Here is a 19,793-nt window from a genome sequence, read left to right as displayed (position 1 = left end):
TGAACCCGGGAGGCGGAGCTTGCAATGAGCCGAGATCATGCCACTGTACTCCAGACTGAGCGACAGAGCAAGACTCCATCTCAAAAAAAAAAAAAAAAAAAATTGTATAGAACTAACTTGCCAGAACTTAAACTATGTCCACGTGGGCTGGCCTGTTACAAACTGCAATGTAAGGCAGAAAGTACACAACCACCCTACCTCCAGTTATTCAATACATATATGGCTATAAACAACTATTACTAAAAGATTACCTTCTTTTTCTTTTTTTCTTTGAGACAGAGTTTCTTTCTGTCACCCAGGCTGGAATGCAGTGGCACGATCTCGGCTCACCGCAATCTCCGCCTCTTGGGTTCAAGCAATTCTCTGCCTCAGCCTCCGGAGTAGCTGGGATTACAGGTGCCCACCACCACACCCGGCTAATTTTTGTATTTTCAGTAGAGACGGGGTTTCACCATCTCAGCCAGGCTGATCTTGAACTCCTGACCTTGTGATTCACCTGCCTCAGCCTGCCAAAGTGCTGGGATTATAGGCATGAGCCACTGTGCCAGGCCTACCTTCAAATTTTTTTAAGGTAACATGTGTTTAGGACTATATGACATACAGAAAACGCCATCGCACACCTCCAAATACTACTATGATTTAATTATGGAGCAACGTTGATAAAATTTTTCTATGAAAAACCTTGGTACAGACAATACAACACAATTCTTTTTTAAGTGTGAGAATTAAGAAATTAACATAGTTCATTTTTTAAAAAACTAAATTTCTTACAATCCAAGCCTCAAACAAAGTATATGACTAGTAATTAAAAACAACTAAACTTATACTGGACTTATTTTACCTACCTGGACTGTAATAGCTAAAAGGGACCTAGAAAGCTATCTAGGTCACCCTCCTATCTGAACACAAGATCATATTAACACAATCACCACATAATCACTATAGGCTAACAGAACTATACATTATTTTTTGACAATCTTAAAATGAAAAATTCCATCCTAATACTAGTTATATATATATATACTGTTTAGACTTCATTATGAGATATCCTTCCTCTATAAGTAAGTTCAAAACTATCATCTACAACCAAGAATTATCTCTGATCACTTTTACAAGTCTTTTGTAAACAGTTACGGTCCCAAACTAGAATAGATATGTATCAGCACATCATGTTACAGAAATGTTATTGACTACTGAACATCAACAAAACAGAACAGAGATTAAATAATGAAATTAAGAGCACTCAGAGGCCACTAAGGAAATCACTGAAAAACCAAATTACGACTCCAGAGGAATGAAACAAAGCTCATGATGCCAGTGTTTTAAAGTAAGCTTTACCTGACAATATGGTTAAACATAAGTTTATTATATTTAACATAGGATGAGAAGCAAAAACTCCCAAGTGAAAGATGAATTTTCCCAACTCCTCATTTTATTCATATTCTAAGAACTAAAAAAGGGCCTCCCACTCAAGACTGAATTCTTCTATAAAGTTCATGACAGGTTTAAGTGACTCCTTAAATATTTTTAGCAGCAGAGAATTTAAAAGGCAGTTCATTAAATTTATGGATTGCATTAAACATTAAAAAGTTCTTTGCTATCCAAGTTAAAATATTCATCCATAATTATCACTTATTGATTCTGTGTACCGTGGAGTTACAAAAACCAGTGTGATCCCAAGAAAGAGCAAAGTCAGACAGACCTCAGCTGCCTGGTATCACAGCTAACCATTTAATTATGAATAAAGTGCCTTCCAGCTTTAGTTTTCTTCCTCCACAAAAAACAGAAACAAAAATATCTACATTTAATAGAAATAATGAATTAATACACATATAAAGCATTTGTGTTATGTCAGGGATTACCTCTGCTACAAGGGAAAAAAAAAAAAAATGAGGTCAGCTCTGATCCTGAGGGGTGGGAGAGAAGCTGTTCCATACAGATAAACGTACAAATTAAGAGAAGTGAAATATTAGGGTGTCAAATATACCTAAAGATAAGTCAATCAAAAAAGACTACAATAAAGGACAAAAAGATTTATAAGGATAAATGATAAAGGATTATTTACAAGGATAAATATATATACAATGTTCTTGTCACAGAGAAAGCATTCCATAAATATTAGTTCCTTCATTTCTGTCCTATGAAAGCCCTTGAAATACCCAAACACCACTAACTTACTTTTTTAACACTTCTCTTTTCCTGACTAAATATCTCCACTTCCCATAATATTACTTCTAAATTAACAATTCAGGAGAGAAGTATAACATGCTTTGACATTATGTTTAAACCTTTGCAGAAAAAAAAAAAAAGTACGTATTTTAGGCAGCAAATTAAACTAGGTTAAAATGTAAGAATCAAACTTAGAAAGTATGAACTTGCTTACCTGCACAGCAATGTACAAGCCTGGAACATTGAAGGACTCAAACATTATTTCAGCAGTATATTCCCTGTTTTCTGGAGTATTCAATGGAGGTTCAGTCTATTGAAATAAATAACATTTTAAATAGATAATATCAGATTATTTTGATAACTTTCTTGACAATTTTTAAATGAGAAGTAATTTATTTCAAACATTTTATTTAAAATGCATTAAATTTACAAGTAGAAAGACAGACACAGAGATCAAAGGAAAACTATAGAGAATTCAAACATCCATACATATATGAAAACAGTATGGTAATTCACATTTTAAAAAAAAAATACCCTGAATGCCTATATCATACCACTTATACAGATTAAACATTAAAAAGAAATGAAGCAGGGAGAGAGAGGGTTGGAGGTAGGGAAAAGGTGGTCCAGTCAAATCATCCTTTAAATATGGTAATGACAAACCTCCAGAAAAAACATCAATGGTATTTGCCAGTGGGAGAGCCCTCATCTAAGTAATGCTTTTAGATGAATGTCCCCGAAGTATATAGGATTACAGTAAACAAGCCGAGATTCTACAGATCTAATGGTACAGCTTTCTGAAAAATGTTATATTAATTTACCTGTTAAGAGCATAGAATCAAGATGTTTGCAGAGCACTCTTCTGTTTATGTGACTGTATACATCACTTAGAAACCTCACAGGTTAAGTCTGGGACAGAACACACTCTAAAGAGGCAAGGAAGGACTCAGAGATCTGGCAGTCTTGGACTTCATATTTCACCTATGCCTCATGATCACTTAAACTGTTTCAATTTTTAAAGATTAACACTGGGTAAGACCTCTGATTCTTGTGAGTCTGACTGGCAATCTAATAGGTATCTCAAATACTTAAATGTAAAAGAAAAATTTTTAAATTTAAAAAAGACACAGAATTCTCTTTTTGACCTTAAGGTAGGAATAACTCCTTAAATTTCTGAAGTACAAATCACAAAGGGAAAAAGTGATAAAACTTGAATCCATTAAAAATTAAATATTTTTAAAATTATTATTTCAAAAGAAATATAAAGCAAAACAACTAAGTATACTGTTACCTTACATAAAACCTTTATAAGCTAAACTCCCTGTGGTGTTTAAACTTCTTTAGAAGAGTTCTGGAGCTATGTTTAAAAGTCTGGAGATAATTTACTGATGAATACATACAAAATTAAGTAAACTAAAAACCAAGGCAGTGAAATTATAAACTCCAAGAAAAAAAATCTACATAAAAGATAATCAGAGGACCCCACAAAGGAAAATATACAAATAGCTAATAATAACAATCGTACATGAAAGACTGCTCAACATAATTATCAGAAAATGAAAATTAAAATTAAAAGCAAATGAAAAATCGTACACACCCACCAGAACGGCTAAAATTTTAAAGACTGACAAGCTAGCAGCGCAGTGGCTCACATCTATAATCCCAGCACTTTGGGAGGCCGAGGTGGGCAGATTACTTGAGACTAGAAGTTCAAGACCAGCCTGGCCAACATGGCAAAATCCTGTCTCTACTAAAATTACAAAAGTTAGCCAGGTGTGGTGGTGCATGCCTGTAATCCCAGCTACTCAGGAGGCTGAGGCACAAGAATCCCTTAAACCTGGGAGGCGGGGAGGTTTCAGTGAGCCAAGATCACACCACTGCACTCCAGCCTGGGTGACAGAGCAAGACTGTCTCAAAAAAAAAGTATAAAAGATTGATAAGCCAAATCTTGAATAGAGCAAGCAGATTACTAATGCATCACTGGGGGGTGTGCAAAAAGGTTCACCATCTTGGGAAAAGTTCCCATGAGTTTCCCTAAAAAACCAATCAGGTACCTACCCTATGACGCTGCAATTCCATACTTACGTATTTAGACAAGAGAAATGAAAACATATGTCCACAAAAAGTCTTGTAGAAGAAGGTTCACAATGGTCAAATTATTTTATTATAACCAAAAACTAGAACTAAGCCAGGCATGGTGGCAGCACTTTGAGAGGCCATGGCGGGAGGATCACTTGGAGCCCAGGAGTTCAAGACCAGCCTGGGTGACAAAGTGAGACTCCATCTCTAAACCAGAACACATTACCCAGGTGTGGTGGCCCGGGCCTGTGTGTCCTAGCTACTCAGGAATCTGAGCTGGGAGAACTGTTTGAGCTGGGAGGTCAACACTGCAATGAGCCATGATTGATCCACTGCATTCCAGCCTGAGCAACAGAGCAAAACCCTGTCTTAAAAAAACAAAAACAAAAACAAAAAAAAAACAAAAATAGCCCAGGTATTCATCAACAGGAAAATGGATAAAGTGAGGCAAATTTATACAATGGAATACTACCCAGCAACAAAAAGCAACAAATCACCAGTATATGCAACATAATTCAATCTCCAGATTATGCTAAGTAAAAGTGTTTCACCAAAATGCACATATTGCATGATTCCATTATTTGACACTCAAACATGGGCAAAGCTAATCTCAGATGAAAAAGAAACAGTGGTTGTCACTAGGGCACGGGGGCAGAGATTAATTACAAAAGGGCATGAGAAAACTTTCCACGCTGATAGTAATTTCTCTATATCTTGGTAAGAGTTTAGGTTACACAGATGTATGTAACTGACAAAGATTGGACAAATCACATCATGCATCCTGCAGGTCAAATACAGCCCACCACCTGTTTTGGTAAAAAAAAAAAATTTATTGGAACACAGACATACCTATGAATTTAAGTATTGTCTATGGCTGCTAACATGCTACAACAGCACAGCTGAGTAGCTGTGACAGGGACCATTGTATAAAAAGTTCTCATTAAGTTTCCTCAGGGACTATAACCCCTGCAAAGCCAAAAATATTTGCTATCTGCTCCCTTAGAAAGTTTGCCAAACCCTGGTCAAAATCCACTGAATGGTGCAGACCGGTGATTTTATGATATGTAAATTTTATATGAAAAGAATAACCATACACAAATGATAGCTCTAGTTGATGAAATACGTGCTAAAGTATTTAGGGGTCAAATGACTCCCATTTGCAACTCACTTTGAAGTGATTTAAAAACTAAAATGAAGTGAAAGATGGATAGACGTCATGAAGCAATTATAGCCAAATGTTAAGGTTAATCATCGAATCTAGATTGTGGGTGTATGAGTGTCCATAGTATGGTTCTTTCAACTTTATAGTCCATCACAATCACCGAAAGACACAGAATATTGATTTAACCAAAAATTGTGATGTAACTACAATGCGAGGAGTGGGAAAGGATAGGTATTTTGTGTTGAGGGAGAGAAAAGGTAAAAAGGGAAATTCTCATTTTTCCTATTAGGAAGTTGGTAAATAATGTATAATATTCTTAAAGACAGAAGAAATAAAAAAAAAATGTTAAATAAAAGAAACATGTTAAAAGATTACTAGCAGGGCAAACTTTGTTAAAATTGAAAATGTTTGCCTCCGGGGAATATGAACCAAAGGTTGGGAGAGGTAAGAAAGGAAAGTGTTATTTTGTTGTTTTAAATCTTATAAAGTCATTTGATTTTTTAAGTTATGAACATGCACTGCTTTAATAAAAAGATGTTTAATAAAAAGTTAGATTATATTGTATTTTTGTTATGAAGAAATACCAATGATATAATAATCAGACTATTGTTTTTTAAGCAAAAAAGTGCCACAGGTTTCCAACATTTTTCTGAACATTACTTACTGTTTCTATCATAAAGATTAGACATTAACTACCAAAAGCACTTCTTAAGTGTTTAACATGTGGTGCTTTGACATACTACTATTCTCCTGTAGCCATAACTAGATGGTCTTAAAGATGATACAGCTTTATTACAAAGTCATTTAGACATATGACAATTTAATAACCAAAGTATACCAAAGAAGTATGATGAAAATGTTCTCATTAAGTGTATTCAAAAATTTCCTCAGTGAAATTATAACTTGTAACTTACCAAAAGAAAATAATGGTCTTCAGGTTCTGCCCTTAAATATTTAAAGATCACTTGCTCCATAAACCTTTCCATTAAGTCCCAATCTTCAACTATACCATGGCGGATTGGCCACTATTAAAACAAAAAGGGAAATACAAATTAAATCTTATTAATATAAAAAACAAATAAAAATACAAAAAAGGAAATATCAGATCATTAGTGGATATTAGATGAGGATATATTCATAGGTGTGATACTATAGAACATCCTTAAAAGATGTGTACTTAAGGATTTAAAGATAAATTAGTTCAATAACGCATTGTCAGATGGATGGTTCAATAAAAACAAAGTGAATATGTCAAAATGTTAAAAACTGTTAAATCTACATGGAAGACCATTGTACTAGTCTTTCTAGATTTTAAAAGTTTTGTAATAAAAGGATAAGTTAGCCTACAAAAATTAAGCCTAAAAAACTATACTTTATCACAATTTCCTTAATTTTTAATGCATTAGGCCATTAACAAGTATTTGTTGTATGCCGAATATAAAAAGTGCACCTGTAAGTACATACCTAGAATAATTGTAAGAATCAAGCACATAAAATGTTATAAGAAAAGTTTTATAAATGTTTAAGAGTCATGCTTCCAAAACTGTGTGCTAAGATACCTACTATGATTTGGATGTGGTGTGTTCCCACCAAAACTCATGTTAAAATTTAATTCCCAGTGTTATAGTATCGAGAGGTGGTAGGGCCTTTAAGAGGTCATCAGGTCATTAGAGGAATTAATGCAGTTCTCAGCAGGACTGAGTTAATTCTCCAGAGGGTTGAAGGCAGGCTGTTACAAAGTGAAGTTGTCCCTTGTATTTTGTCCCTTTCCTCTTCCATTCCCCAACATGTTATGAAGCAGCATGAGGTCCTTACCAGAGGTTGATCAGATGTGGCCAACTCATCTTGGACTTCCTCACCTCCAGAACCACAAGCCAAAATAAACCTCTTTTCTTTATAAATTACTCAGTCTCAAGTATTCATTATAGCAACAGAAAATGAACTGAGACAGCACCCCAGTGTACTACCATAAATTCACAAGGGCGCCGCAAAGTTATTTTAAATTTTCCAGGGAAATATAGTGTTACTCAACATCAGTTGGACACTGCGTGATCTACAAGTCACAGTAATTCAGTTTCAACAATAAATCAAACTATTATATATTCCTTTCAATGACATTATTTCTTACAGAAGTTGGTTTGTCAGCAGTTGCTGGCATAAAAACCAAGTTATCACATAAAATAACATCGATATAAAACAAGAAATCAGGGTGGCAATGTCCCATCTGATTCCAGGTTTGAGAAGCTGAGCGATGCCTAAGCATCCTAACAGAAATGTGATTACTCAGCAGTGAAATAACGTTTCCAATTTAAGTGTCTTATTTTTTTCAAGTGGCTACTAAGTTGCCTGGACCTAGGTATTTAATAAACAGAACTATCAGACATTTCTTTCGATCTAGGTGGCACAGTGAAAAACGTTACTGAGACCCTAACGGCACTGAGAAAGTTTGTGAACCTCTGCAACAGAATATAATTCCATGAACATAATACACATTCAATACCTAAAGTTAAACAAATTAATGAACAAAGAAATAAATACCTTGCAGTATCAATCCCTAACATCTACTTCTTACTCTAGTTTCCACACTACTTTTTAAGGCATTATACTTATAAAAGGACTTCTACTCCCCAGTTTGCTTTAAGGAAGGAAAAAATTGCAGTTTACTTTATCATTCAATTTTTAACATTATTAGAAGTTTACAAATTCAAATGTTTTAAGTATTATTTATTCATCAATTATTACTGTGTACCTACTGTAAGCCACTGGCACAAATGCTAAGGACACAGACATCCAGCATACAAAAAACTCAGTCTAGCAAAAGAAATATATACGAACAAATATTACACTACAGGTTTTTAAAAAAAATAAAGTTCCGACTGGGCGTGGTGGCTCATGCCTGTAATCCCAGCACTTTGGGAGGCCAAGGCAGGCAGATCACCTGAGGTCAGGAGTTTGAGACCAGCCTGGCCAACATGGTGAAACCCCGTCTCCACTAAAAATACAAAAATTAGCCAGGCGTGGTGGTGCATGCCTATAATCCCAGCTACTCGGGAGGCTGAGACAAGAGAATCACTTGAACCCAGGAGGCGGAGGTTGCAGTGAGCCAAGATCACTCCATTGCACTCCAGCCTGGGCGATAGAGTAAGACTCTGTCTCCAAAAAAAAAAAAAAAAAAGGTGGCACGATGGCTCACGCCTGTAATCCCAGCACTTTGGGAGGTTGAGGTGGGTGGATCATTTGAGGTCAGGAGTTCAAGACCAGCCTGGCCAATATGGTGAAGCCCCATCTCCACTGAAAATACAAAAATCAGTCAGGCATGGTGGCAGGCACCTATAATCCCAGCTACTGGGGAGGCTGAGGCAGGAGAATCTCTTGAACCCAGGAGTCAGAGGTTGCAGTAGGCCAAGATCACATCACTCCACTCCAGCCTGGGCAACAGAGTAACACTCTGTCAAATAAATAAATAAATAAATAAATAAATAGTTCCTTGAATAAGATGACCACCTTGTTTTGTGAGAGAAAAGGTTTCGCTGAGGAGGTCATATCTAAGCCGGGTCTTAACTCAGTTCTGCTTTCTGGCTTTTTTTTTGGCAGGGGAATGAGAGGTATGGAGGAACTTGTGGAGAACAGAAAAAGATGTATAGAAAGACAAACACTGCATGGTATACAAAAACAAAACTGAAGTTATCAATGAGAAATTTATGTGCCAAAAGATTTGAAGGTGCGTAGAGAGATATACCAGTTCTAGATCAAAGGGACTAGATTCTCAAAAATTTTCCTTTTATTTAGGTTTTATTCTATAAGAAATAAAACAGCAGAGAAATTTTTAAGCAGGGGAATAAGAACAGCTTTAATTTTTAGGAAGACTATTATAGCAGCATTGGGAAAGCTCAAATGAAGCTTAACAGAACCAAGTGAGAACAAGAGTACCAATAGTGGTATGGACGACAAGGGGCCACATTGAAGATTTCTCAGTCAATAAGAATAAGAAAGGGCTGGGCATGGTGGCTCATACCTATAATCCCAGCACTTTGGGAGGCCAAGGTGAGAGGATGGCTTGAGCCCAGGAGTTTGAGACCAGCCTAGGCAACGTAGTGAGACCCTGTCTCTACAAAAAAAAAAAAAATTTTTAATTAGCCAGGTGTGGTGGCACACACCTGTAGTCCCCGCTACTCAGGAGGCTGAGGTGGAAGAATCACTTGAGCCCAGAGGGTCAAAGTGATTGTGGAGGGTCTTGCAGTGAGCCAAGATCTCACCACTGCATTCCAACATGGGCAACAGGGCAAGACACCTGTCTCAAAAAAAAAAAAAAAAAGAGAAAAAAGTCAGAAGATGCCAACAGGTTTCCAGCTTTGAAGTTAGGATGGACCAGATCCATTAATCAAAACATAAAAATTGTGTTTTGTCTGATCTTGGAATAAACAAGAGTGGAGTATATATAATACGTTTTGTTTTAGATATACTAAAACTCAAGAGCCAGGAAATAGGTAGGTGAAGATGTAGTCAAGGAACTGAAAGTAGAGATCTGGTCTGTGGTTGCAGACAAAGGAATGGAGGAGATCACCTAGAGAAAGTCTTTAATGAAAGAATAAAACATTGAGTCACCCCATTTTATGAGAAGAGAAAAAAAAAAAAAAGGAGAACTGAAAGCAGTGCCTAGAGAAACCAACGTTTGAGTAGTGGGTAAAGGAGAAATCAGTGACAATAGAAACAACAAATAAAAACAAACAAAACAGGCCGGGCACAGTGGCTCATGCCTGTAATCCCAGCACTTTGGGAGGCCGAGGCAGGCAGATCACGAGGTCAGGAGATTGAGACCATCCTGGCTAACACGGTGAAACCCCATCTCTACTAAAAATATAAAAAATTAGCCGGGCACGGTGGTGGGCGCCTGTAGTCCCAACTACTTGGGAGGCTGAGGCAGGAGAATGGCATGAACCCGAAGTCGAGGCTGCAGTGAGCTGAGATCGCGCCACTGCACTCTAGCCTGGGCGACAGAGCCAGGCTCCGTCTCAAAAACAAACAAACAAACAAACAAACAAACAAACAAATATTCCATGTTAGGAAGATAACCATTAGAGTAATCCTGCAAAAGAAAGACAAATCAAGAAGGATGAAAACTGTTACATATAATTGGATTTAACAAAGAGCATATCAAATATCTTGAGACTCACTAAGAAGTGTCGTTTTAAAAGGAAAGAGAAAAATAGCTAAATTGCTGAGGACAGAAGGTAGGAATAAAGATTGAGAGAAGTTTTGTTCTGGTTTGTTAGTAGCACTTAGAAGACTTAAAAATGCGTTTAAAATGAGTGGACAGAATCAGTGGAAAGGAACTCTGGCCTCTCGACTGACTGACTTCATCACTTTCAGTGGTATCTCTTTTCCATTTTGGCCACAGTATAGATCTTATATCATCATCACTATCACCTCTCAATCGCTGAAATGCAGGTATACCCTTCTCTGATCACAACCTCTTATTATTCTAGCATACTCAACCACCTCAAGAGATCTCTTCTGAACACCAATTAAGACTTTTGGTCCACTGGTTGCTTTAATTATTCCCTAGCCATCAATATACACAGTCTAGATTTTGACCCATCACCTTTATTTCACATGTTCTTTTTTCATCCTGTCTACCAAAATCCAACCCAGCATATATCCCTAACATAAACTTGCCTATATCCAGAATGCTGATTATACCGCAGAAGCATTTGCACTAGGGTGCTAAAGACTAAGAATTCATAGTCATTATTCTCAAATGGACCTAACCTTGCCTGGCAAGCCTTTACTCTTCTACTCTGTTCCTCTTTACTCTTCACAATGACGAGTGTCAATGCCGCCCCTACCGCTAAGATTTCACCTTCTCCCCACATCCATGACCAGCAGATGATGCCACCACATATTTCGCAGAAGCAGCAGAAGCCAACAGTCAGGAATTCAAATCTGTAAAATGGATTCCATACTTAGCCTTTTTTCTCATTTACTTCCATTATAATGTAAGATATTCCGCATGTCAATTCAGTCATCTGTGTTCTGGATCTCATCCCTCCAGCTTTTTCAGAGACCTTGATTATACCTTATCTTTCCTGTTACTTTAATCTCTAATAGTTCTTTCATATTAGCATTCAGACATGTCTTCCATCTTAACGTTGAAATGTGTCTCTTCATCTCTCTCTCCCTCCCAATCACAATTGAAACTCAATGAACAGTACTCTTACTGTTACTTTTTTCCTGGCCTATCACTCAAAAGCCTACTTTCATCTAGCCCAACTACTCTTCTAAAACTATTCTCATTCAGGTTACAAATCACCACCTTGTAGCGAAAGACAGCAAATTATCTATGGGCTCTAGCTCATCTCAGCACCATTCTACAGTGTTTACCTCTACATATCTACCCATGCATTCTCAGTCTCTTTCGCAGACTTTTCCTCCTCTACTCAAACCTAACTGGCACACTGCTCTGTCTTAGTTCTCTTCCCCTGTGATATGTTCCCCTAGGTAATGTCAACCCGTCTAAGGTAACTGACACTTTCTGAATCTCTGTCTCCAGCTCTGCCTTGTTTCTTACCTCCAAAATCCACATATTTGACTCTAACAAAATCTCAGACGTCTCACAAGTACCTCAAACACAATGTGTTCAAAATTAAACTTATTTTCTCCTCTCTACACTACCCAGTCAAAAGTGTTTCTCCTTATGAAACAAGACCTCTAGCTCTCACCTTATACAAAAATCAACTCAAAATGAATTAAAGATTTAAATCTAAGACCCAAAACTATAAAAGTACTAGAAGAAAACTTAGGGGAAACCTCTCACAACATTGGTACGGGAAAAGATTTTACAAATAAGACCTCAGAAGCACAGGCAACAAAAGCAAAAATAGACAAATGGGATTATATTAAATTAAAATGCTTCTGTGAGGAAAACCATCAACAGAGGGAAAATACAAGTTATGGAATGGGTCAAAATGCCCGCAAACTGTACATCTGACAGAGGATTAACATCCAGAATATATAAGGAATTCAATTCAACAGCAAGAAAAAAAAAAAAAAACACTGATTTTTTTAAAAGGGCAAATAATCTAAATAGACATTTCTCAAAAGAAGTCACATCAACGGCCAACAAATACATGAAAAAAACGTCCAACATGACTAATCATCAGGAAAATGCAAATCAAAACCAGAAAGAAATACCGTCTCACCATAGTTAGAATGGCTATTACCCAAAAGACAAAAAAAATCACAAATGCTGGCAAGGATGTGCAGAAAAGGGAACTCATATATACTGTGGAGGGAATGTTAATAGGTAAAGCCACTATAAAGCATAGTACAGAGGCTCCTCAAAAAACCACAAATAGAACTACCATATGATCCAGCCATCCTACTATTGGGTATATACCCAAAGGAAAATAAATTACTATATCAAAGATACCTGCACCCTCATGTTTATTGCAGTACTCTTCACAATAGCCAAAATATGAAATTAACCTAAGTGTCCATACGGATATGTGTAGTATATATGCACAATACTATTCAACCATAAAAAAAGAGTGAAATCCTGTCATTCCTGGCAACACAGATGAGCCCAAAGGACATTAAGTGAAATAAGCCAGGGACTAAAAGATAAAAAATTGCATGTTCTCATTCATGTGCAAAAGCTAAAAAAATTGACTTCATGTAAGTAGAGAGTAGAAAAGTGGTTACTAGAGGCTGGAAAGGGTAGGGGAAAGAAGGGAATAGGGAGAGCTTGAATAAAGGATACAAAATTACAGCTGGATAGCAAGAATAAGTTCTAGTGTTCTATAGCACTATATGATGACTACAGTTAATTTATTATATATTTTCAGATAGTTAGAACAGAGAATTCTGAATATTCTCAACACAAAAAAATAAGTGTTTGAGGTGAATATGCTACTTACATTGACTTGATCACCACACACTGTACATATCAAAATATCACTACATACTCCATAAATATGTACAATTATTATATGTCAAGTAAAATTTTTTTAAAAGCCTGGCACAGTGGCTCATGCCTGTAATCCCACACTTTGAGAGAGGCCAACATGGGAGGGTCACTTGAGCCCAGGAGTTTGAGACGAGCATGGGCAACAGAAGGAGACCCTGTCTCTATAAAAAATAAAATAAAAGGCCGGACGCAGTGGCTCACACCTGTAATCCCAGCACTTTGGGAGGCCAAGGTGGGCAGATCACCTGAAGTCAGGAGTTCAAGGCCAGGCTGGCCAAATGGTGAAACCCCATCTCTACTAAAAACACAAAAATTAGTCCGGCGTGGTGGCACATGCCTGTAATCCCAGCTACTCAGGAGGCTGAAGCAGGAGAATCGCCTGAACCCAGGAGGTGGAGGATGCAGTGAGGTGAGATCACGCCACTGCACTCCAGCCTGGGAGACAGAGCAAGATTCCATCTCAAAAATAAAAATAAAAATAAAATAAATTAGCGAAGCATGGTGGCACACGCCTGTGGTTCCAGCTACTCAGGAGACTGAAGTGTGAAAATCTCTTGAGTCCAGAAGTTTGAGGCTGCAGTGAGTGAGCTGTGATTGTGCCACTGCACTGCAACCTAGGTGACAAAGTTGAGACCTTGTCTTAAAAATAAAATAAAATAATTTTTAGATGTTTTTCCTTTAACATTCTCAATTTCAGCAGATAAGGGATAAATAAGACTATCTCGGAGCTGGGAATTACCCTCAATTGATACATCTAGCTTATCACCAATATCCCATTCATCACGCCCTGTTACTCTTTAATTATCCACTTTTTCCTTGTCAAAACAAACAAACAAAAACCTCCCATAAATCTAATCAGACTTACATTTAACTACCATTTACAACAAAAAAAAGTAAATATAGGAAGTAGGGTACCATGTTAAATGACCCAATGAGTATGTAATAATCAGAATCCCTAGAATATAGGAAATTTTACAAGACATCTCAAGTTTTTTTCCATAAATAAATGGCAAGAACAAAAAAGAAAAGAAACATAACACACAGGGAAAATAACCTATAGATAAAAAGAGACTTAAGAGATTTATCAACTAAATCCAATGAGTAGACCACATTTTAATGTTGATTCAAACAGAATAACCAATATAGTAAATAATCAAAGAAATTTAAGCAATGACTAGATATCAGATAAAGAAACTGCATACTAAATTAAGGTGTCATATTTACCTTTTTTAAAAGCCTTCATATTTAAGAGTTAAGTATTTGTTAAGTGAAATAGTATGTACAATTTACTTTAAAATAATTGCAGGTTGAGGGTGGAAAGATTATATAGACAAAATGAGATTGTCCATAGATTATAACCACCAAAGTTGTATGATAGGCACATGGGGGTTCATTATATTATTTTCTGTTCTTTGACATGTGAAGTTTTCCACAATAAAAGTTAAATGTCTGTGTGTGTGATTGCACTTACACAATTTCCATTTCTATCCCCACTGCCGTCACTAATATCTCTTGCTTAGACTATAGCAATAGTCAATTATCTGGTTTTCCCAGAATCATGCTTACCTTACCCAAATAATTTCTCTTCATTGTCTATGTGGCCTGAGTAATCTTTTCTAAGTAAAATAAGCCAACATATATTGAGTAACCATTATGTTCAAAGCACTAGAGTATAACAATTTCTTTATACACATCTCCTTAAGCCTTATAACAATCCTGGCCCAGGCGTGGTAACTCACATCTATAACCCCAGCACTTTGGCAGGCCAAGGGGACAAATTGCTTGAGCCCAGGAGTTCAAGACCAGCCTGGGCAACATGATGAAACTCCATCTCTACCAAAAATACAAAAAATTAGCTGGGCATAGTGGCATGCATCTGTATTCCAAGCTACTTGGGAGGCTGAGGTAGGAGGATCACTTGAGCCTGGGATATTCAAGGCTGCAGTGAGTCATGTTCATGCCACTGAACTCCATCCTGGGTAACAAAGTGAGGCTTTGTCTTAAAAAAAAAAAAAAAGAAAGAAAAGAAAAAAATCTTCAAGTACTAATAATATCTCCATTTTACAGACGAAGAAATCAAAATTCAGAAAGGTTAAGTCACTGAATGATATCACAAAGTTAGAAATTAGCACAGACAGGATTCAAGTTCAAACAGGCAGATTCCAATATTTGCACTTTAAGTGCAAAAATTATTCCTCTAGGTATACTCATTAATGTTGCCAATAGGATAGGGTTCAAATTCTTTAACATGGTCTAACAACATATTCAGTGCTCTTTCCTGCCTACCTATACAGCCTCCTCACTTCTTTCCACCTCGTTCTCCATGCTTCAGGCATATTGGTCATGCACTTCTAGTCCCTCTCATACTGTAAAGCCTTTTCATATATTGGTTTCTCTACCTAAAACAACTCAGCCTGCCCACCTCAGCAGCTAACTCCTATTTTATTCTTCAAGCCTCAGCTTAAAGATTTACTCCTCGAGGACATTCCTGATTCCCCACACTAGGTTAGCTACTCCTGTGATACATGCACAGAGCACTGTGTGTGTGTTTCCCTTCTTCTAACCCCCAACACACTTGTAATTATTTCTTCAATGTCTTCCTTTCCACCACATTATAATAGCCTTGCAGTCGGGGAAATTTTTTTATACACCATTTTACTCACGATACATGGCAAAGTATTTTACACATGGTAGTTGTTCATTAATGAATAAATTATGAGAAGGGAAGAAGTACAAAGGAGGATATTTGCAAATCAGACAAAGTCAGTGTCAAAAAATAAGATGATAAAGGTCAGAATAGCATTTATTTTTTGGTGGGAATGGAGTAGTGACTGTGTGAACAAGCACAAGGAAAGCTTCAGGGTTACTAGATTTGTTCTGTTTCTTTACCTGTTATGATTACAGTCATAAAAATTCTTCGAACTGTATAATTAACACTTACATACTTACACCTCAATTAAAAGAGGGAGGGAAAAGGGTAGAAAAGAAAAAGGGAAAAAGAAAAAGAGGGAGAAAGAGAACAGCACTTACAGATGGCATAAACTTCAAAAAAGAGAAAAATGGTGTAAGTTTGAATAAAGATGGGGAAAAAAAGTTTGCAGAAGTAGCAATGTGGAAGTAAAGGTAATTTTATTGAGGGCCCTGAGATCCAGTGGGTGTGGAAAAATAAATACTGCTCATTTGAAAGGGCTAAAACTTTCCTCTTAGGGGTTATTAAAAAAAAGAAAAAAAAAAGTTAAAGCAACAGGGAAGGATGCCATAGGGAAAAAGAAATTTCTACTGAGAAGAGGTTTGAGGATATTAATAAGGTCTATTATAGAGTGAATTCCAGAGGGCACAAGCATCGAACAAACTATTTTTTGAAAATGTTATTTATACAAATCATAAAAACATACCTTTGTTGCATATGTAGGTTTTTCTATTGCTTCATCACCAATGAAGAAGTCTAGGTCATCAACACCTTTCATCACCCTCCTTTGAGCTTGATCACCCACTTTTGCTGACTCCTTAATAGCAATACCTTTAAAATAAGTTAGACATGTCAAAGAATTCATTTTCCTCAAATGAGAAAAACTTTTACCTTACACTTCTCCCATTACAAAGTACTACAAAGTAAAACATGACCTAGCCTATTTAAATTGTCAAACTAATTCACAAAAGTCATAAGAAACCAGTGACAAAATTCATTTCACACAACGAAACCTCAACTTCCACTCAGAGACAAGACCTCAAATGCAAAAAGCCAGAAAAACAACATCTGTGGGAAAGTTTCAAATATATATTTTTTAAATTATATAAATCCTCCTTTGATTCTCAGTAAAACTGTAATCCCACCAAATCCACATATGCTTGATGAACAACTGGAAAGAAAAAAACTGAAAAACACAAATGAGAAAAAAACTTCAAGAATAATTTTTTAAACTTTCTTTACATCTCTACCCTATCACTACTGGGTCTAGTAATAGTGATTGGGTCTAGTAACAGTAATTACTATTGTGGTCTAGTAATTTAAATGTAATACAGATCTGTTAAACTACATATATAAAAGGAAATCTCAATTCATTTAGGTGAAACCCACAACAATATCCTTAAATAATTGCAGAAATCCAGCATACAGTTTGAAAGCTAAAACTTGTTATGTATTTTTAGATTAAGTTATAAATGTACGAATCCATCAAGTTCAGTTCTTCATTCAAAATAATTGTCTGAATGCACTTAAACTGATCTGGCATTCAACTGTTACTTTCATTTAGTAACAGCTATATCCTTAAGAAAGTGGGCAGAAAATAACTGGAAGAAAAAAATTTTTAATCCACCATCTAGTCCTTCTAAATGCTAGAAATTCTCTCCAGCAATTTACTTACAGTGTACATAGACATCCAGGTGGCTCACTATAAATTTCCTAAAAATAAATATGCATGTATATAAAAAAAACCTTGAACCACTTGCACAGGCTTTCCAGATCAAATATCAATACTCATTAGTAAAAGACAGTGGCAATGTCTCTATCTGCTAATTATAAACACTGTACCTGCAGCATTAAAACTGGGTGGGTGAGAAAAAACACTCAAAAATCAAAAACCTTCTTACAGCAGGCAAATGAATTTTTAACATACTGCAACTAGTCATGGCAAAGACTTCATATTTTGGCAGAGAGATAAGATAAAAAATGGATTCAATAGTGATGAGATCCAATGGTTCAAAAAATCAAGATTATATAGGCCTCCAACAAAAAGTTAACACAGCCATTTACGAATATAACCAAAACCAATTTTGCTAAGATGGCAGAAATAACTTTAGTAGTCTCCTGAAATATACAATCACAACAAAAGATTATACACAAAAGATTAAAAGTCATCAGCATTGTTACAGGTTGAATTGTGTATCACCAAAAAGATATGAAGTCCTAACCGCCAGTACCTCAGAATGTAACTGTGTTTGGAAATAGGGTCTTCACAGTTAAAACGAAGTTATCAAGGTGGCCCCTAATACAATATGACTAGTGTCCTCATAGAAAGGGAAAATTTGAACACAGATACAGAAGGATGATGATGTAAAGACGCACATTAAGAAGACAGCCATGTGACTGGAGTGACGCATCTATCAGCCAAGGATCCTGAGGAAACATCAGAAGCCAGAAGACACCAGCAAGAGCATGACCCTGCTGACGCATTGATTTTGTACTTCTGGACTCCAGAATTCTAAGTGTTTGTTGTTTTCAGCCACCCAATTTTTGGTACTGTGTTACGTACGGTAGCTTAAAGAAACCAGTAAGTACATACACGATGGTCTAACACTAAACTGAAATACGACTAAAGTCAAGTACTAGCCCAAAGAAGTACCTCTACATTAGTCAGCAATAAAGCCAACATGTATCACCGAATTCTTAATAACAGACAAAAAACAATCAACGTATTGACATATAAATGTGAGAAAAACTACAAAGAAAAGCAAACCTATTCTTCATGTTCAGTAGATAACAAACATGCATGAATAAAATATTTAAAAGGTAATAATAAAGGCCACTAGACACACGAATGAGCTGTTTCATCAATATCAACTAAAATCCATTCTGGGTTTTAAAGAAGTATTAGATTTAGGCAGTAGCCTAAGTTCTTACATAATTGATTCCTAGAAAAGTGTATCAAAATAGGAGAAACACACAAGTCAAATAAGTTTGTTTCTAGAAAGTGAGGAGTAGATAAAAACCCTAAAACCATTTCCCCTTTTAGGTGCAATTTTGAAAGTGTATTTCTTTTCTTTTTCTTTCTTTTTTTTTTTTTTTTTTTGAGACTGAGTCTTGCTCTGTCACCCCCCAGGCCTGGAATGCAGTGGCGCCATCTCAGCTCACTGCAACCTCCACCTCCCGGGTTCGAGCGATTCTCCTGCCTCAGCCTCCTGAGCAGCTGGGACTACAGGTGTGCACCACCATGCCTGGCTAATTTTTGTATTTTTAGTAGAGACAGGGTTTCATCATGTTGGTCAGGCTGGTCTCGAACTCCTGACCTCGTGATCTGCCCGCCTCGGCCTCCCAAAGTGCTGGGATTACAGGCGTGAGCCACCGATCCCGGCCAGACAGTGTTATTTCTTTAATGCCACACACTTAATTTTGTTCTTACTACACAAATGACAAAACAGTTGACCTCTTGTGTCCAATGAGTGCTCAAGTGATACTAAAGATCCAGTTTTTGGCAAAGCCTAACATCTTATTCTCAACTTCATTGATTCTGAAACATACACTGCTTTCATTACTCTCTACATATTCATTTTTCCATTTTCTTATTTTCATAATGAATAACAATGAAATACAAAAAATTCAGTCACATAAATAAGATTGTGAAAAATCAGTGACACTCTCAAAATTAAAATGTCTAGGAGAACCACTAAGCAACGGCTCAAAAGGTTTGTCACTTGGTA

The 19,793-nt window shown here is 36.5% G+C and overlaps 1 protein-coding gene across 3 annotated transcripts in view; it reads right to left on the bottom strand.

Annotated features, from left to right (window-relative positions):
* The window catches only part of ACTR3 (actin related protein 3), a 72,663-nt gene that overhangs the window by 28,817 nt on the left and 24,053 nt on the right, over window positions 1–19,793 (bottom strand). For 2 of the 3 annotated variants that reach the window (NM_005721.5, NM_001277140.1), the window contains exons 3-5: window positions 16,772–16,896; window positions 6,325–6,435; window positions 2,384–2,479 (exon numbers count right to left, since the gene is read on the bottom strand). In NM_005721.5, the coding sequence (NP_005712.1) occupies window positions 2,384–2,479; window positions 6,325–6,435; window positions 16,772–16,896 (332 nt within the window). The remainder of the gene's footprint in view (window positions 1–2,383; window positions 2,480–6,324; window positions 6,436–16,771; window positions 16,897–19,793) is intronic. The other variant, NR_102318.1, reaches the window with a different exon arrangement.

Source organism: Homo sapiens, chromosome 2, assembly GCF_000001405.40.
Source record: "Homo sapiens chromosome 2, GRCh38.p14 Primary Assembly".
Classification (NCBI taxonomy): Eukaryota; Metazoa; Chordata; class Mammalia; order Primates; family Hominidae; genus Homo; species Homo sapiens.
The sequence above is the reverse complement of the archived record's forward strand: the minus strand, read 5'-3'. Positions and strand labels throughout refer to the sequence as shown.